The sequence below is a fragment of the Homo sapiens genome, chromosome 4 (assembly GCF_000001405.40).
Source record: "Homo sapiens chromosome 4, GRCh38.p14 Primary Assembly".
Lineage (NCBI taxonomy): Eukaryota > Metazoa > Chordata > Mammalia > Primates > Hominidae > Homo > Homo sapiens.
Window position 1 is genome coordinate 121,061,135 of NC_000004.12, and position 21,081 is coordinate 121,082,215.

Below are 21,081 nucleotides of genomic sequence, written 5' to 3' on the forward strand. Positions count from 1 at the left end.
ACCAGCCCTCTTGTAAAATCCAAGGCCCCCCAAAACACACAAAAACACCTCCGGAAAGGTTAGAAAATATTCTCCAAAGACAGTGGTTCCTGATAATTTAGTAATTTGAGAGCTTGTTTGGAGGTTCTGGCAGGGGAGCGCAGCTACTCATATACCGTTGACCAAAGACCGGTCCTCCTTCATCGGGGATGGTCATTCTCTTTGGCCAAGTGCACAGCTTCGGGAGCGATGCACATGGAGCAGGGAGGAAGGAAGGGGACACCCGCCTAGCCAGCCAGATCAGCTGAATCAACCCTGGCGATCAAAGGGTTGACAAATGTCGCAGCCAGATCGCCCTCACGTCCACAATCTCACGATTTGGAGAAAGAATAAACATATCATTTCCTTTTCCTTCTCTGTCTCTTCTCTCCTAGCTCATAGCTCAATGTCTCAGGTGACCTCTTCTCATGTCTGAGTTCCTCTTCAATTCAGGATTGAGTCTTCTTGCAAACACCTGAATTTATTTTTTGGTCTGTTCTTTACTCCCCCACCATCCCCCCACCAACGATTATGTAATTTTTATTATTTATTCGTGTATTTATTCATTTATTCATGCATTTATTCATTTATTCAAGTTTTGAAACAGTTTAAAGGCTGCCAAAGCAAAATAGAAAAAGATCACTCAACTTAGAGTAAGATCTGAGTCAAAGATCTAAGTTGAAAAGGTCCTGATTAAACCATGATCGGCTTTGGTACTTTGAGTGAGCCTCTTAATCCCCTTCAAGCTCAATTACCTCATCTACAAAATGGAGACAATTATTCCCAGGATTGTTATGAGATTAAATGAAATAATTGATATGAATGTTCTTTTAAAATTAAAAAGGTTCTATTTATCTTCAAATAGTGTAAGCCAGTTTCTCAGACTGGTTGCAACATTTTATTCGGCAGCAAAAAACACGTCTTGACTTGCTCTTAAAACAGAGATATGTGAAGGAGTTTCAGCATCAGATTATTCCATCTTTATTTACCTATCAGGTAAAAGATTAGGACCTTATTCAATTAGAGACTGATTAGAAGCACAGAGTTAAAGGCCAAGATGTCGATTTTAAAAAATAATCTCAAAAATAATTGTAAATTCTTAATATGCTTTTTGTTATCCTTCATACACCATATCTGAGGACATCAACATTGTTTAATAAACAAAACTGATCAACACTGGTTCAAAGCCGAGCGTGCTTGGGCTTTTTAGGCACTATATCTAGCAAAGGATTTAAGATGCACGTGTTGAGATCAGAGCACTGAGGATCAGGATCAGTTCCTGGGATGTTCTGCATTATTATTTCTGGATTAAGAGATGATTAAAGAAAAGTACACTTTCAAAAGGCAAACAACACAGACAGATCCCACAGTCATTTTCAATAGTTTATAGCAAATTGTGATGAAATAATACAAGCATGTAAACTTACAACAATTAGAGAGATGACAAACCACAAGTACTGATACAATATGGGAATTCAGACCCACAATTATGTAATCCTTTCCCCCCCAAGGAAGTAAGATACACAGTTAGGTGTGGTTTTTCTTCTCCTATTTTTTTTCTTTTCTCTTTTTTATTTTTTTAAGGGAAGCACTAAGGAAAAGGCTGCAGCTGGTGAGTGTCGCGGTCAACAACGTTCAGTGATCATTACACAAGATAGAGCCTGCCAAGAGAAAAAGAGATCTCGAAAATGCCTGGTGGTTGTCATTGCTTTGTACGTGTGAATAAACTTTAAATGTGGAAAATGTTTTAAAAAATTATAGACTGAGTTTGGCTGAAGTGTTGAGTGTATAAATACTTTCATTATCTGAACTTATTTTTCTTATTAAATTTTAAAGGGTTTTAAACTTTGGAATTTTTGGAGTATCTTTTTTATATATGTTTATAGGCGCTCTTGTTTTGCTGAAATGTACAGTTTCATCCAATTTTTAAAAACTAATTTAAAAATAATTTTAAAAATCTTAGAACTGATCTAACCTCAACTCTTGCCTCTCAAGAATGCCACATAATTAACATTATAATGGAACAACTTGATAGGTAAATTACTAATTGCTACTAATTTCACAGAGGATTCTGCAGCTTCTTGATTTTTCAGTGATTGCAGCTACCATAATAATTGGAATATGTTTCAATATCATGGGTTATGTGTCTCTAATAAACTTTTGAGTTATTTTTCTAATCCCAAATTTTCTTATTGGGCTCTATTTACTGAAGAAAATATGTTTTATTATTTCCTTTTTCCGATAACTTGTCTCTAAGGTATGTGAAAGGCTTTGTCTATTACACATATGTGCACATAAACACACACACACACACACAGAGTGAGAGAGGAGAAATCAAACTCAACAAATAGCATATCTTAGAACATTGTAATACCCGGATTTGAATGACTGGGTTAGTAGGACTAATTAAAAGGAGGGCTGAAGAGAGAAAATTTGACTTCAACAGATGATTTCAGGCTATAAGTAGACTTAATAAAGTAAACTGATAACCTAGTTTACCTTTTATGATTAGAGGAGAATCTATGCAAATGGTGATTGGGGGTGTCGGGGGGGCCATGGGAGGTTTACATCAGAACCTGCGCGTGTTCAGAGACTGATGTTCCACTTCACTTTCAGTGATTTCCCCTGTTAAAAAAGACTAACCTTCTAGAAGGAGAGATATGGGGATTATTTATCACTGTTAGCCCTTTGTGCCATTTAGAACTGGTGCTTTTTACTCTCAAAGGTAAGTTTTGTTTCTGTTTTACCTGAAATAATTATCTACAAGTGAAAGAGTTTAATCAGTTTCCCCTTTAAAAATTCCCTAAGAAGTTAACTATTACCAAAAACAAACAGTGAGTGCATAGACAGTCTACAATTATGGTCTTGTGGATTTAGGCTAAATAAGTGGTATTCTGAATAATTAAATTGTAAAAAACTTCTAAGCAAATTGTCCAGACAAATTAATGTGGCAACTAATCTCAGCTTAAGCTTTTAAACATTTTCATCAATTTTGCTTCTAAAACCAAAGAGTTACAACTTTATTTAAAAAGTTTATGTGAGTTTAGGTAAGTCAGATTTATCAGGAGTAGAAGGATAGAATATCTTCCTCACTGGGTTGCTGTGAGGGTTAAGGAAAGTGATGGATGTGGAAGTACCTTGTAAACAATCAAGGGTTATACAAAGATATATTATTATTATTAATAAATAGAATCATTTCTGCTTCCATTGTGAAATTCAAAGCATGGAAACAACTTTAACATTAGTTAACAACTGACAACATTACTAAGAAAAAATATAATTTCAAAGAAAAACTTCAAAATATAACACAATATACATAAAAAATGTTGGATGGAACTTTTTAAACTCTCAGATTACTGATATTTTCAAAACATAATGGGGCACAATATGCATTTATACATAAAAGAGGAATTATGAAATACCTCTACAAATAACAGAATAATATTGAAAATAGTGACTAATTTGAGAGCTTTTTCAGCTTCTTGCTCAATTCTTTTCAACGTCTCTCACTCAGTAATGTGTGGTCTGAGGTCTGAGGTCTCCAAACCTCTTAGAATTGTGATTTAAAAAAGTGTGTATGCGTGTGCGTGGGTTTGTGTGGGTGTGTCTGAATACACACATACATACTTATAATACATTAAAAAATACTTAAAAGCTCTCTACACTGGGATGAGTATCATAGACAATTACAGTAGATATAATTGTACATTTCAAATCTTTTTCTGGTTAATTTCAGGGGTGTTTTATAAACAGGGCTGATTATAATGTCATTATTATTATTATATTTTTAGAGATGGGGTCTCAGTATGTTGCCCAGGCTGGACCGCAGGGGCTATTCACAAGGGAGATCATTGTGTACTACAGCCTCAAACTCTTGGGCTCAAGTGGTCCTCCAGCCTCAGCCTCCTTAGCAGCTGGGATTATAACTGTGCCACTGCACCTAGCAGAATGTCATTATTTTTATCTTGCATTAATTTTGCTTCATACATGCTGTCACCTCTGCCGTTCTTTGTTGTTCCATGACCATCTGATATCCTGAGTAAGAGTGCTTTCGTTAATTGATATAGTATTAAGTAATATTCACAAAACTTGATTTCATTCTTTACAGATAAAAGTGACTATAAATAGATCTTCTGGTATTTCCTTCTTACACCATAATGAGGCAATCTTTGCCCCACAATGAGGCAAGGAGGGCACCCCCTTTTAAAGACCTCTGCTTTACAAGGTTGACACTAACAGAAGCTGAATATCTGTTCAGTACGATTTTAGAGGCAATGGGCAACCTTCGATTGTTTAAAAGAGTATCTTGTATCCTCCACTTTACTGTAATTAAAAGACAAGCTTTTAAATGCAAATATTCACTGGGTCTAACCTTGCAAAGATAATTTCAAATGTCCTTTTCTAATTCCTGGACAGCTTCTGATAGTGTCAACCTTGTAAAGCAGAGGTCTCTAAAAGGGGGTGTCCTCTTTGCTTCATTGTGGGGCACAAATTGCCCATTATGGTGTAAGAAGGAAATACCAAAAGATCTATTTATATTCACTTTTATGTGTAAAGAATGAAATACACACACACACACACACACACATATATTTTACATATGTTTTATACATATATATGTATAAAATAACCCCTTCTAAAATGTTGTCTTAAGTGATCTGGCTTTATCTAGTTATTAAAATATCTTTGTAAAATGTTAGCTGGTATCAGTTTACCCATTTCCCATTGCAGAGATATTTTCATATTTATAGAGGACACTGAAAAATAAAATTAATTTAAAAGTTAAATATAAATTAATTAATGTAAAAGTTAAAAATAAAATTAATTTAAAAGTTAAAAAAAAGCATATTTTTTCAGGTAGTGTTTTGGTACCCTGAGAGGCCCTGGGAGCAGGGTGGCTTCCCTGGTACCTCTAAGGCCATCTCTCATGTAACCCATCTGTTAGTTCTATTAGTATGGTGAATCCTGCTATTGCTATCATTAGAGTGTTAAATGTTTATCTCTCATTTAAGAGGCAGTTTTCTTTTTCCATAAAAAGTAACATATTTTCATAGCACCCGAAGAACTAACAATATCAGAGACTCAGGGAGGCACAGAGTTAAACGACTGATGTTTTTCCCCAGTTTACTACGTGTCTTAGCTAGCGCTGGTGTTTCTGATCTGTCCCACTGTTGGCAACAAATCTCTCTTCAATTACAGGATCCAGCAGTATATATTTCTAATATATAAATTATAACCATCTACACTCCAGAAGTCACCATACACTTGTAACAGCTAAATTGGACAAAGTAATCCTAAATAAATCAATCAGGCCCTATTATACTGGTTTTTCTCTCTTAAATATAGTATTTTCAAGTAAGTACCACAACACTACCCCTAACTGTCTGCCAACAGTTTGTTTGCCAACTGCCAGGATAGGGCATTGTCTGTCTTGTATATACCAATTTGTTCATAGTTCCTACATTATAAATTTTAAAAACAGTCATGGTGATTTCAAAAACAAGATGTCATATTTTAGAGGTCTAATTATGAGTTCAGATTTTACTGCTTATTTTAGAAAATGTTAAATTTCAGGCTCATATTCTATCTACATCTGTGTATATAACAGCATTGCCTCAGAAGACAAGATATGGTGATTTTCAGTTGTTGATAAAACACATATTTGAATATAGTCCATATTTTTGGCTATGTTTTTAGATTGTGGAATATATGTTCTCAGAGCACACAGCTGGAAGAAGAGGGTGTTTACCTTGATTTCCGCTTAGAGAGAAGAAACACTGACAGAAACTTGTACAGTCTCCATTTACTTCAGCTGGTCACCACTATTTGTGATATTAGCTGAAATCATTCCAATTAGAAAGCAAACGTGCATGCATGTTGTGAATTGTTTTTATAATTTGGTTTTTATATTTAAAAGTCTCCACGCTGTGGAGGCAGTGTCTAAGAGTTCCACTCAAATGAGTTGATTCCCAATCACGCGTAATCATATTTTTATTGAGTACTCTCCAAACTTTATATAACCTTACCATTATTCCTAAAAAAGTTTTTCTTTTAACTATAAAAAAGACGGCAAATTATTTTAAAAGAAGAATTAAAAGAGACATTTGATAAATTATACATTTATACTACTACCTCTAGCCACATTTTTTTAAAGAAAAGATTCATTTTAGAGTTTTCATAAGTGAAGCTAAAAATAAATACTTCAGAGAAATATATAAAATATTAAATGTGTCATGTTCAAATTTGTTACAGAAAAAATTAACAAGCGAAAACCAAGACCTATTAACTAACTTACTAAAATAAATCAGTTTCCAAAGGATATGGAAGTTATTGAAAGAATGATGACATATATCTTGAAAGTTTCTATACTTTTCTCATAAACTTGAGGTTTGTGGACTTTAAAGTGAAGTTTAAATCAAAGTTAACTCAATGAGTTCCTTGAAAAAAATTGGCATTGTAATAGGGCCAAATACCCAGCTGTTCTGTGGCCAAATTTGTCTCTTTATCCCAAAGTGAAAAATCTACAGACCATTTTGCTAGTTTGCTTTTATACCACATTGATCAAATTTGTTACCCTTAATTTTTAAAATCAAAACAAGCCACAACTTTTTTTATTGGGGGAATTAACATTATATATTACATGTTTTCCAAATATTTCAAAAGACTAAAATTCATGTGTTTGTTGGTTTGCAGTTTTTAGTAAAGTACCAGAAGGAAGGGGAAAGGTGTGGATATTGCTTCTTTGGGTTGTGTGTTTAGGAAGGAAGCAGCCAAGGATACACCTGCTTTTGGCACTGGCTTAGGCACTGGTACAGCAAATGCCAGGTGTCATCTCAGAAGAGGCAAGAAATACGTGAAATACACACAGCCAAGCAAACAGACTTACACTGAAATGGTGTGATTTTCAACAAAAATATAACTGAGTTTATGGTCAACATACCACCATGTGATACAATAAAGTATTAGCATTCTTGTTTTTCTGTCTCATACTACATGATTATTTTTTAACAACAGCAGCAAAGTATTTACTTTTTTTTTCTAGGAGGAAATTAACATGGAAGCTTGACTGCATGCATGCTGAGTGTCACGTAATGTTACATTTGTAATACAGTGGAAAAATACAGCAGAATTTATCCTAACTTCAGGGAATAAAATGCAAAGTATTTTAAAATAGAGTATTTAAATCCTGGAGGATTTGATTTTAAAATCAGCTTTCAAAGCAAAGATTTTGTGGGGTTTACTATTTACTATCAACCACGCTGTGGCTTCTATTAAATGATTATGAGCCCACAGGGGAAGAATAAATTGTGTTCTTTAGAATAATCATTCTAAAATAAACATTTAGAGGTTCTAGATATTATTTCAGGGTCAAATGAATTAGTTGAACTATTTTGTTGGTTATATTGGGTATCCCTGCCTTTGACCCAATACAGATGACTATGAGACATATTTTCTTCCAAGTGATTAGCTGATGGCCACTGACTGGCAAGGTTCAGCTGCTACTATAGGTGTATAGGTCCCCAAAGCAAGACCTGACAAGAAGGCAGGTAGCAAAAAAGTGAGACAGAGAGAGAGAGAGAGAGCACTACTTGGTCACTATCGACCACCTTATCATGGAGAAACTAAGGAAAGGAGATTAAAATAATCTTAATTAGCACATATGATGTGTAATTCACACTCTGTTCCTATGCTCTCGGTTGATTCAGTCATCATTATTCCATTTCCAATATCTGCTCATCCATCATACCAAAATGATAAGTCCTAACGACGACAACAAAAACACATTCAGTTTTAAAGTAAAAATTCTGACCTCTAGATAGGCTGAAGAGAATTGCTATAGAAATAAATATAGGAAGAGAAGAGATACACTTTATTTCTACTTTTCTCCCCTTCATGTCAAATAATTTGTTAGAGTTTTAAAATACATTTTTCTCCCTTCCACAACAGAGTCTGGTCGATAAATCCAAGTGAGAAAACTAAAATCTGAAACAACAAGGTTCACGCAGCCAACTAGAAAAGTCTCTACATTAAGCTGACGACTGACCTACTGTGGCTATTTCCAAGGTAGCATTCCATCGACCTGGTATTGGCAATGTTGTGACAATAGTCTTTACTCTTTAACATTCATACTTCACCATATGAATGTTAAACAGACCCAGGACAAATAAGCTGAGGGTGGGGGCTTCTCTTGTCCTTAGAAGGATATTTTTCAATTACATATTTTGTTACATCCTAAGAGATAAAAGCTGTATCTGCAAGTGATTAAAAGATGTTTTATATTCATGGTTTCATTTCTGCTGAAATAAATGCGTAATTTAAACCAAACATAATTCATAGCAATTTAGGCCTATTACAGAGTTCTAGCTTCTTTTTTATGATAGTTACTAATTAAAACAGAGTGTTACTGCCACACTAAGCCTAAGTCTTTGACATACAGGTTTAATGAATAAAATGTCCTGACACAAAAATGAAAGCAATAATGCAGACAAGGCTGCAAGCTGTTATGTTTCAAGTGTGTGGTAAAGATTAAGGGCATTCACTGAAGTGATGAACTGTGCAGAGAAGGACCTTGTAATTTCTTTCTCTAAAGGAAGAAGTAAAGGAATTTTTAGAGAAATCTGAAATAGTACTAATTTATCTAACTCCTAGGCCCCTCATTCCCAGTTGTCCCTCTCTCCCCTCCAAGAGTTTAAACTCATAAGAGTCACTTCTGAGGAATAAATGATGGGGTATTTTAATATAATCCTGAATATAGGTTTAGATTGAAAATGGGAATTGGGACCATAATTAATTATGTTGCCAAGTTTTTTAAACTTTAAGAAGACAGATGGAGGCAAATGACATTTTATAAGAGTGCAACCTTCTAAAAGATCATAGATTAAAACTGTGGTAAAACGACAGTATCTTTTTTGACATTTGATTAATCCCATATGCAGAATGACTGAAGAATTAATACGGTTTTGGTGTTTTCACTTTCTGAAACCACTGTAATAAGAGACTGACATAAACTCAAACCCCAGTATAAACACAGTCTGAGCGAAGGTTGCGGCCTTATTATCACTCTTAACAAACAATAATGAATAATCATACCGATCGCCCTCACTACACTCTGCTTTATATACATATTCCCTCTCGGATCCATCCATCACTTCTTTCAAGATAATAAAACAATTCAATCCCATCAAATCCCCTGCAACCGCTCCCTTGGGAGGGATGTTTTATCTCTACTTCTCCGAACCCAGGGAGGATTTTACTTGTTTGAAGGGGGCGGAGAATGGAGCGGAGTCCTATTTATTTCCATTGATGACTCCCCTGGTTCTCACAGGCGCTCAGGGACCGGGTGGGAGGAGGAGAGGAGGAGGTGCGGAGATTCCCTCCGTCAGAAAAGAAAAAGGGTTCAGGAAGCGAGGCAGCAGGAGGAGGGGTGGAGGGGGGAAAGAGAGGGTAGTGTGTTTGGGGAAAGCAGCAACTAAATGAAAAAATAAACTCTTCTTTGTGATTTAGCGGGATCGACAGATGAGAAGCAAATTTATCAACCCAACAAAGTTGCTAAAAAGAACTCTGTAAATAAATTTAAAGAAAAGAAGGAAAAAACATAACAACAACAACAAAACCCAGACATACACTCAGGTTCATTTCCCGCTCAAGGTCTTGGTTTTAGGGAGCCACCCGTACCCAAGAGCAAGAAATGGACAGCGCCCCGAAGGGGGCCAGGAGGGGAACCGCAACTTGGCCGGAGGGACAGCTCAGAGACAGCGTAGAGGTGCCCGCGGCAAACTCCGAGGAGCTGATGCGGGGCGGGTCCGGGGAACTGCCGGGAGCTCTCACGCCTGGGCCTGGGATAGGGTGCGGGCAGAAAGGTGAACCGAGAGCGCACAATGCAACGAAACCGCACTCCAAATTCAGCAGTTTGCAAAGTGCCTCCAAGAAAACAGCTGGGACCTGCAATCACTCGTTCGGACTCCTAGGTTATCGGGGCCGCGGCGACTCCGCTCAGTTAGAAAGGTAGCGCGGGTGAGAGCGAACCCCAACTCACGCACAGACAGGACGAGGGCACGAAGCCGAGTCTCCTGGCTGGGGCCGTAGGGGGCGTCACCTCGGTGGCCGCTCTGCTCTCCGGAAGAAAGTATGAGCCGGTCCCAGGCCACCTCGCTCAGCCCAAGGAAGTTTCTATAACGATGCTCGCCTACCACGCAGAGGACAAATGAGGAGCCAGAGCGGTTGGGGGTCGGGCCAACCGAACTCCCGGCCCCGGCTGCGCAGCTCCCAGACGCCCACCAAGAACTCGTGCGCTGCCTGGACCTCTAGCTTTTCGCCCTACACGCAGACGCCCTCTGCAAAACCCCAGTCCCGCAGACTTTCCCTAGCGGCGGGCGGAGGGCATGAACCTGGAAAGGGAGGCAACAGCCCTCTTGGCAGGCGGGCAAAGTAAGTGTCCAGGCTAAGTCCGGGATAAAGGCTCCGCGGCTCCCCAGACCCCACTGCACCCCGAGCTCCCGGGTCCCAGGTCTTCCCCGCCCTTGCGCTGTCTGTCCACCTCCTCACATCTCTCCGGGCCGCCCAGCTTCGAAAGCAGCTAAATTAAAAACAAACAAACAAACAAACAACAACAACAATAAAAAAAAAAAAACGAGGGAAACCTGCTCCTGCCCCTCATGCCCTCAGCTCCTACGGATAGGGCGCCCTTGAGAAGCTTCTTGGGCCTTGAAGATTTGGGGGCGCGTGCCTCGAGCCCCCATCTCGGATGACCCTTCGGGCGTGAACGCTCCTTGTGCTAGGTCTCAGGGTGGCGGGCTAAGGCGTCGGGTCTCTGGGGCATTGCTTTCCTCTCCCCACTTACCTTAAAAAGATCTGTTTTTCGTAGGGAAAATAGAAAAAAATCCCTCCCCGTGGTGTGGTGTGCGAAATAGTCCACGTCCCCGGACCCTGCCAAGATGCTAAGCACCAATATCCAGGAACGAGAAGCCTGGAGGGCGGGGACGGAGGCAGATAAAAGAGAAAAATTCAATCCGCTGAAGTGTCCCAACTTTGCGGTCGGCACAGCAAACTTCAAAGGCGGGCGAGGGCGGGCGGCGCGCGGTCGCCGAAGTTGCTGCGAAGTGGAGTAGGGAGCCGCGCGGGGCTGGGGAATCCCGGGGCAGCGCCGAGAAGCGGCGGGAGGTCCTTTTAAACTGCAGGGAGCGTGCGGGGGCTGGGCGGCGGGAGGATGCCGCAGCGACCCGCGGGGCTGGCGCGGGCTTCGCCGGCCGCCGCTAGTCGCACAGGCGCCTGGCTGGAGCGCCGCGCGGGGTGCTGGGAGAGCCGGGCGCACGGGGCGGCAGCGGCCGTGGCGGGTGCGCTGCTCAGTTAGCTCCACTCTCTCGCGGCTGGAAGTGGGGAGTGTGTGTTCGCTCCCGAGTGTCACTGCTGAAGCCCGGAGTCTCTTCCCCTCCCAGCCCTAACCCCTCCCGCCTCACCGCTGCCCGCCCGCCCCCTCCCTCCTCTGCCCGTTGCCTCCCCCTCCGTCCCTCCTTCTCTCCCTCCCGCTGCGCGCCAGCGCGCACGCACACACACACACACACACACACACTCATACACATACACACACTCACACACAGACACCCTCTCCCTCCTTTTCTCTCTCCCTGTAGCCCTCCCTCCCTCTCTTTCTCTCACACACACACCACCCTGCTCAGCGACCCAGCGCTCCCCAAACAGGACCCTCGCGGGCGGCATCGCGAGGGACACGCTGCTGTCCTAACCTTAGCGCCACTCGGGGAGAATGAAGGAGGCCCACCGAGCCCCCGACAAAGCTGCAAAACCCAGGAGACGCGCACGCGGGACCATCACACTGTCAAGCAGACCGGGGTGCACAATAGAGGGAAACTCTGGGGTTGATCTGGGGGCAGGGAGGGGGACGTGTTAAATCCAGAAGGTTGGTGGTTGGAGGCGGAAAGCAGAGTGTGCAAACTGTGCATTCATGTCCCACTTTTCACCCGAACGCCTGCCTATCACAGCCTTCACTCAGGGAGCGCTTCCCCCTCGGCGCAGACCGAGCCTCCTCCGATTTGAAACTCAGCAGCTGTTTTAACAATTGAAAAAGCGGCCCTACAGGACCAGTGAAACGGAGCAGAGTGTGTGAAGCCATTAAGGCTGACTAGGTAATTATGATAAAAAGTTACCTAATTAGCAACCTGGCCTGGGCTTAGGAAAACCAAGAAAAAAAAAGTACCGAATGATTTGGTGATCTCATTTTTGCAACTGAGAACCTGATTTCCAGCAAACCTGGTTTTATATAAGTTCTAATAATATATAATTATTTATTAAGATATAGTGTCAGTATTGAAAACACTAGTTCTGTTATTGCCACAATGAAATTAAGGTAGGTAGGATGAAAATCAGCCTTATCCCGGTCATATTAAGAACTATGATCTTTTTTGCTAAACAGTTGGTCACAGAGGGTGGACCAATGCAGCTCCTAAAGTTTTGTGGTTCCTAGATGAAAACACTGCAGGAAATGGATTTATAAAACCGTTTACACGACATAAAATAGTTTTGTAAAATTTTTAAACACTGAAAAGGACATTTCAGATCACTGTGCAAGCATATTTTTTGCAGATGAGACAATGAGGTGAGAAAAGTCCTCATTGTATCTCCACTTAGGAGATACGATCTAGAGCAGATCCCTGGGTCATTCATTAACAAAGCTTACGAAGTCCCTGCTGTGTACCAGGTATGTCTTATGTGCTGAGATTTAGAGGTGATGGTGCTGCCTTTAAGGAACTCACCGCCTGGTGAGGAGACAGAGGCATAAATGAAAATGTGATTAGCACTATAATAAGTGCAGGTACCTGGTCCTGTGGAAGCATGGAAAAGGAAACAGCTAACTCCCCTTCAGAAGCTTCTCTTGGTAGAGATTTCAGTGTAGAGTTCTGAAAGACAAGGAAGAAATACAAGGCCAACAAGGATGTGGTGGAGGGGGGAGGGCATTCCACAAACAGAAGCAAGTGAAGAGGTTAGGAAAGTGTCAAAGTACATGGTGTGTCCTGGAAACTAGGAGACTAGGTGCGGCTAGACTGCAGGTGAAGTAAGCAAGGCCAAGCCACACAAGGCTCTCTGGGTGTAAGGAGCCAGAACTTGCCTGGAGGTGGTGAGTAGTTGGGAAACTGTTAAAGGTGTTAAGCTAGGACAGATTCTAAGGTTTGTAAGTATTATTAGATAATGTGTTTTAGAAGGTTTCCTCTGGTTTCACTGTGCAAGACAAATAGAAGAGAGATCACAGTGAGGTTATTTCCAGAGGAAAAATTAGGTCTGAACCAAGGCAGCAGAAATGCTGTTTGGGAGGTTAGGACAGCTCTAGAGATATTTAGGAAATAGAATAGACAAGGCTTAGTGATTGATTGGACATAGAGGGTAATGGAGAGAAGAGAGTCTAGACTGACTCCCAGTTTTCTGGCTGGTGCGCTAAGGCAGGGATGGTGCCACTAGCCAAGAGAAACACACAGAGAGGAGCAGTTTTAGGAGGAATGTAATGAGTTCTGTCTTAAACTTGTGGAGTTGGGGGTGCCTCTGTGACATCTGAGTGCCCTGCCATTTAGGCAGCCAAAAGGAAAGTTCCTAGGAGGGTAGACAGGAGCTGGAAGGATACATTCAGGTGTCTGGCAAGCATGGGGGAGGAGTAAGGCAGCCAGGAAGAGAAGACTTAGGATGGGACATGGCAGACACCAATGTCTTAGACATGGATGAAGGAAGAGGACCCTGCAAAAGAAAGGGATGAACACCAGAGAAGAAGGGCAACAGAGTAGGACCAATGAAGCCAAGGGAGGACAGGGCTAGTGACCAGGGTAGAAAGAGGCAGACAGATGGAGACAACTAGACTGAAAAGCTGCTGCTCTTATTTACAAAAAGTCTTGGTATTCTTGACCAATGCAATTTTAGTTTATGCTGCATGTATATGAGGATCACTTCCCTCTTTGGTACATTGGGGCAACACTATCTACCCCCATGCATTTCACAGGGTTGATTGGGAATTCAAATGAACCAGTGATTGGGGTATTGATTTAAAATTGCCATTAGGAAGAAACTGAGTGCTAATGATGTTAGAGAGACATCATTAATTCAGGCAATTAATGACAGACCTGAGTCTGTAGGAAAGTTCTGTAAGGACTCTGTGAATTTCATAAAATTCATCAAAATATCTGTGTTTTGAACATCAGGATTTGCATATATCAGTATACTCTGTCTTCTAAAAAAACAAGCCACCGATAAAACCAGTGGCATTGTATATATTTATATTTATATATATATGTAAGTTATCTTCAGTGTTTTGAGAGACTTGGGTAATGTGCCATATTAGATAGAACATATGTTATTTAGCCAAACAGGCTTATATTTAATTCTAGACTCTGAAAATTATTTGCTGTAGGACAAAACCTCTTTGAGCATCAGTGGCTTTTTTCAAATATAAAAATGGAATAAATTATAGTTGACTTACAGATGTTTTGTGAGGATTGGATAGTATAACATATTCAAGTGTTTGCAAGATATTTACATATTTATATCTGCATTTACTTTTAAACCAGGCAATTCTTAAATATGCAATTGGAGGAAAAAGCCAAAAACTATTATAAAACCAAGAGTGAATTTAAGTCTATTTAGGAGAACTACTGGTTGAAACCTATGTTTTAAGGCAGCAGTCATCAAACTGGGGTTCGTAGACCCATGGGGGTTTCTGAGATCCTTTCAGGGGAGGTCTGCAAGGACAAAGCTAGTTTCATATTAATTCTAAGACATAATTTGCCTTCTTTGACTGTGTTGACATTTGCACTGATGATACGAAAGCAATGGTGGGTAAACCTGCTAGCACCTTAGCATGTTCAAAGCAGTGGCACCCAACTATCCTGGTAGTTATTGTATTTTTTACTGCCCCAAATATGAGTTTCGCTTAAGAATGTCTTTGATGAAGCAGTAAAAAATACTTATTTTATTAAATTTCAACTCTTGACTATGTCTTTTTAATATTCCGTATGGCAAACTGGGAGGCACAAATAAAGCTCTTCTGTGGCATACTAAAGTGCAGTTGTTTATCCTGAACGAAGACATTTATGTAATTGATTTGTGAGCTAAACTACCTGCTTTTTTATGTGACATATTTTTACTTGAAAGAACAACTGACAGACAAACTATGGTTACTCAGACTTGGATACTTAGCAAACACTTTTTTAAAAAAATTTTTTAACAAATGAATGAAGTCAGCCTGTCATTTCAAGGCAAACAAACAGCAATATTTATTTCCAGTGAAAAACTTGAACTTTTGAGTAAAAAATTAGAATTTTTAAAACTTGTTTTTGTCACCATGAGCTTGACAGTTTCCCAGTACTTAAAGTCTTTCCTAGTAAGATCGTGATCATTTAAATGAATGTGGTTTTAGATATCGTACAATGACATATATCAACATTTGGAAGAACTGCATAGCTCAATGAACAAGTATTTTCCAAATGACTAATAATGCATCATGATCTAAAATCACGCATAAGGATCCATTCAAAATGCAAAATAGACGAACGGGTTTTAATGTAACACAGTATGAAAAGTTAACTGATATGGTTTCATATTCCATACTGCAATTATAAGGTTTAAGAAACTACCATTTGTTGAGTTATGGTGTCACGTTAAAGAAGAATATCCAGAATTGTTTGAAAAGATTATTGAAATGTTTCTTCATTTTCCAACTACATATCTGTGAAAAATTGGATTTTCCTTTGTTTGAAGATATACTTCAAACAAAATAAATTGCAACAGATTGAAAACAGACATGATATGAGAATTCAACTGTCTTTTATTAAGCCAGACATTAAAGAGATTAACAAAAATGTAAAACATTTCTTTGGAAAATAATGTTACTTTAATGTGCAGTAGGTTTACTATAGTTATTTAAATGAATTAATAAATATTTTAAAGATTTCTGTTGTAATTCATAGGTTGACTATTGAAAGAAATAACCTATATAACAAAAACTCCTTGGGGTCCACAATAATTTTCAGACTGTCAAGTGGCCCTAAGAACGACTGTCATATGAACTAGGCTCACTCATGAAAGAAGGTTGAAAGATCATCAGAAGCTTATGATAATATTCTGCCCATGGATTGGCCATCACCTCAGTTGTATTGTATAATACAATTCTCATTTTACACAAATGTAAATAGATCCTTCTATACATAAACTTCTAGAGTGTTATAGTCGACATCTCTACATTGGGGGCTGGGACAACAGAACCGATAGAAACCATCCTGCAAATCTTGAAGCTTGGATAAAACAGTATCACATCCCGGATCATACTAGCACCAGATAGTCTTTTGTCTGTTGGTTCAGTTTCAGTCTCTTCTTTAAACAGTTCAAGAAGTAGTTCTCTAAAGTCTCTTAAAAATTAATGATTATCTGTAATTTGACACCTCTTACACACTTAGCCAATGTAAAGTTGAAACATCAAGTCTGAGTCACCTTTTATTCTTCCTGAGGGTGTTTATTCCCTTAATAAACATTTGCTGAGCACCTGTTATATGCCAGCCCTCTGCTCGCTGCTGGGAACAAAGGAATAAATGAGGCCCTTGCTCTGAGGAACCTGCGGTGTAGTGAAGAGTTAAGCAATTAGCAGGTGATATCTTAAGGGAATGGGGCAGTGTGTAAGTCCATGACCAAGGTGAGAGTGCGGCCTTAGGGCAGGATTCTTGGAGAAAGTAACGTCTAAATAGAGATCCGAAGGATGGGTCAGTCATCCTAGGCTAACGGAGGGAAGTGTGGGGTAAATAAGGGTTTGAAGGAAAAGGGAACAGCATAGACTATGACATATTCAGGAAATGTTATGAAATTAACTATTGCTTTAAAAATCACCCTAATTTTAAATATGTACATAAGATCAACCGATTTTCCTTGTTTTAGTTTGTTCAGGAAGTAGAATGGGATGTTTTAAGATCATTATGGTACGTTTAACAATGTCTTACTTAAATCGGAATTGCCACTATCTTACAAAAAAGCACTGGATTAAAATAAAAGATTAAAAATTATATTTAAGCCCTCAAATGCAATTTGCTTGAATTTCCAACGATTAATTTAGGACATTGAAAAAATAATGTAATTCTTACTTTGTTCAAGTCACTGAGCACAGTGCTAAAAGAGATTTAAAAAAATCTAAAACTTAGTATTTGCCCAGAAAAAGTCTGTAAGATGAGTTTAGATATGTTTTCTTTCTTTCCTTTAGACACTCAGTAAATATTTATTAAATGCCTGTTATATTTCAGATGTTGAAGATACATTATTAAAAAGACAGATATTATTCCTGCCCACAGTATGATAGTGACTAGTTACTTGGCTTTTAAATATTACTCATAGCATCAGATGCCAAATGATAACAGCCAAAGGAGTGTTAAGAATTATAGGATGTAACTTATTCACCACTGGGAAAGGTTTGATTTGGTACAGAAGAGGATGAGAGCATCAAAACCACAGAAATGGCGTCCAGGAAAGGTTCACAGGAAGGAAATAACCAAAGTACATTTCAGAGGCAGTGAATAGAATCATTTGGTGAGATGGATTTTGCTAACGAAGTTAACAGAAGAAGAAACTGGATACCTAGGTTGGGCAAATTGGAGAGACCATGTTAGTAGAGGTACAGGCTTCATCCTCTTGGCAGTGAGTAAAACCTAAAGGAATAAAGCAATGAGGCAAATGCCATTTGCCACACTTAAGAAGGACTCTGGTGGTTTGTAAAAGAGACATTCTCTTGATTGCAGTTAATGGGTTCCTCTGATATAAAAATCCCTGTTTTGTTTTCACTTCAGAGTATATATCCACCCATCATCCCATTTCTTGTGAACATTTTTACTAATTAGTGTATTACACTATATCATTTACATGATGGAAAAACTGAGGTATTTTTTAAAATGTCAATACTGAAAACATTTCCTAACCGCCTCCTGTGTTCTAGAAGAAGGAATCCACTGATAACGTTGAGTCTCAGCCTGTGATCCAACAACTATTCTGTGGTCCAGGTTCGTTGACCAAAGCAGCATGGATGGCTGTTTCCAGGAGCCTGCACTGTATCAATCATGTAGCAATGATAGTCAATGCAAGCCTAAGCTAGCAGCAGTGTTGGGAGGGTACTAAAGCTATGCATACATGAAAATAAAGAGAGAGATGAGAAAATACTGGGCCAGCCTAGAGTATGAAAAGGGCTGAAAGAAACGGGTGGAGATAGATCCTTAAATATAACAGAGAGTTTGAGATTGTGTGATTAATACATTCCTATAATTTGAGTTCATTTAATAATTGCTTTATTTTCTACATCCCATGGCTTGTTTAGGCACAGCTAAAGAAGAACACTCTTTCATGTGAGCAGTTTGGCCCAAGTTCCTGATAGCTATGTGCCAGTGATATCATACAGCCTTAAGGCCACACAGACATAAAGCCTGGTTATTTTTTTAAATGTTTTGAAGCTGAATGGCATCAGATGTAGTGGAAAGAACACAGACATCGGAGCCAGAGGTCTTGGGTACAGTTTCCTGCACTGACATTTAATAACTTTGTGACTGTGTGAACTTGGAAAGTTATTTAATCTTTCTGAAGTTCAGTTTCCTCATCTGTAAAATGGGGATAATAAAATTTCTCTGATAAGGTTATTGTTAGGGTTAAACTATTTTTAATATGTAAAGCATGTGATATATAATAGGCACTAAACAATTGCCTATATAATAATCACCAATTTTTACTCCCTGGATTCAATTTCTGTTCAAATAAAACATTGCTTCTCCCTAATCAGAAAACCGTACTTTGTAAGTGAAAAAATAAAACAAAAGGAATCACTTAGACCTTGCTTGTTAGGATGGCCAAAATGATTAATTTCAGGTTTGACAAAATGTAACAAATCAAAAACTCTTTCCTTTACAAATTTATTCCAAAAACAACCAGTGAAAAAGACATTATTTGCATTTCACAGATGAGAAAACGGAGGTTTATGGCCATCAGTGGCTGAGCAGGGATCGGAGTCTCATTCTGTCAAACTCTAAAGCCTGCGTTCTGAACCAACTCAAGCTGCCCCAGGATATTCCTTGGAGCCTCTATCAACTAATTTCACAGATTCTTTTTTTTTCCTTTTTGCTGCTGTCATGTTAATGGGCATTATTTAAAAAGGGATCTTACCACAGAATTTGATTTGGTGTCTCCTTGTTGACACCATATAAGAGCAAATCTAACCACATGTAGTGTTTTCACAAAAGTGTACCTATCCATCAATTCTAGCCACAAACCTCTAAGGTCAGAAATCTCAAAGATTAAGCCAGAGGGAGGTGGAATAGTCCAAACTGGTTTAGCTGCTTGAGTCTTCTCTTTTATTTGAAAATCACTTAAACTCTGTCATTGACACAGTATGAGTCCTTTCCTAAAGACATTTTAAAAACTAACTTCTCTATGAAAAGCAGTGAATAGGAGGGCTGACACAATTTTTAAAACTCTCAACATGTGCAGCTCATAAAAAGTAGGCATATGATTATATATACCTTTGATTCAACCAGTTTCTATTACAAGTAACCTGTGAACCCTAGAACTTAGTTATTTTTTTTTTTAAAAAAAAGGAGGGGAATCTCCACCTTAACCTTTTGGCCATTTAATCACTTATTTATTGAGTGGTTTCTAAGTGCCTGCTGTTGTCGCTCACTGCTTATTAGTCCTTGTGAGAGCAATCTTCAGTAGGAATTATTAGAATTCCCATTTTGGAGATGATGCTACTGAGGCTGTCAGAACTTGTCATATTTCTAGCCAAGAAATTTGAACCCAGGCAGTGCTTTCAGCTATTATACTCGCTCCTCCCCTTTTGAAATGGATTCAAGGTAGTCACTCACAAATGTGGAGAATAAACTGAAGAAAGAAATAATAAGCCAAGTCCAGTCATCTTAACAACCATTTTTAACTGTTTCCTAGTAGTTTGGCATATAAAAAAATTTCCCTCGAGAAAATAAAACTTTAGTAGAATAGCATTATTTTAAAATTATGTTAAGCTTTTCAGTGTGTGTTATCAGACTCAAATGTATTAAATTCCTTATTGGATTAGACCAGTTAACACTGGATTTTGTCACATTTCTACTTTTGAATACCACATCTAGGAAAGAAATGTGTTAATATTTACTTCATTGTGCCAAATCAGATTCTATTGTAAAACTAGATCAAAAATGAATCACTACACTATAAAATGCAAAAATCTGTACGTGGATTGTAAAGAGAAACAGGGACTGTTCTCATTTTCTGGCGCAACTTCTCAACCCTCATTATGCTCTGTTGTAGAAAAAATGCATTATTTCCGGTCATTTAAAAGAAGTAGGGCCATTTTTTCTAGAAAATAAATGGTAATTGAATCACTGAAATGATTTTGGGAAAACAGTTTCCATACCAATAGTGTCTAATGTAACTCTGAAAACTCTTGGTGTTATAAAGGAAAAATTTGAATTTTTCTAATGTAAGCTTAAATGTACCCAGTCGAAATCCTCTCCATTCCTTCCATGTAATCCTTCAATGTTTTCTTGTCCAAAAAGTATAACCAAACATAGAGCCTTGAATATTTCTCTTTTGTCTCCATAGCATTTTATCCATAGCTCTCTCTATTTCTAAGACCATAATTTCTATTAATGTGATAATCATAGTGGTATTCTGTCACTTTCAATCGCCTAGCTGAAACTACTCAGTGAAACTCTGAGGGAATTCCTATTTTGAAGAAACTGCAAATTTAGAGGGTGGACTTTTTTTTTTTTTTTTTTTTTTTTGCAATTAGAAGAAGAGAATAACATAATGAAAATTCAAATAGGCTTGAAACTCAAAGGTCATTTGAAACACTAAACTCAAAAGAACTCATTTGTACATCTGTCAAAACATGAGAAAATCACTCTGATTTTGAAAGGACTTTTCAAAGACCTTATCTATGTGGGAAATTGCACACTGACCTGTAAGGAATATGTAATTTGTGTTAAACAGAGTCTCATTCAAAGACTAAGGATAATCTTATATCCAATCAATTTTAGACCAGAATTTTTGTAACTTATT

The 21,081-nt window shown here is 38.7% G+C and overlaps 1 protein-coding gene, 1 long non-coding RNA gene and 1 pseudogene across 4 annotated transcripts in view; 1 reads left to right on the forward strand and 2 right to left on the reverse strand.

The window, feature by feature from the left end:
• NDNF (neuron derived neurotrophic factor) overlaps positions 1-11,401 on the reverse strand; it is a 36,923-nt gene extending 25,522 nt beyond the window's left edge. Inside the window, exon 1 of one of the 3 annotated variants that reach the window (NM_024574.4) lies at positions 10,859-11,401. The gene's annotated coding sequence lies outside the window, so the exon portion shown is untranslated. Of the gene's footprint in view, positions 1-10,054; positions 10,305-10,858 lie in introns of those variants that run through there. The other 2 variants (XM_024454212.2, XM_024454213.2) reach the window with 2 other exon arrangements.
• RN7SKP137 (RN7SK pseudogene 137) lies at positions 106-344 on the reverse strand (annotated as a pseudogene).
• On the forward strand, positions 10,228-20,605 carry NDNF-AS1 (NDNF antisense RNA 1). Its single transcript, NR_187407.1, has 3 exons — positions 10,228-10,446; positions 12,616-12,730; positions 18,989-20,605. It is a non-coding gene; the product is annotated as an NDNF antisense RNA 1 (long non-coding RNA).
• Positions 20,606-21,081: the final 476 nt, after the last annotated feature.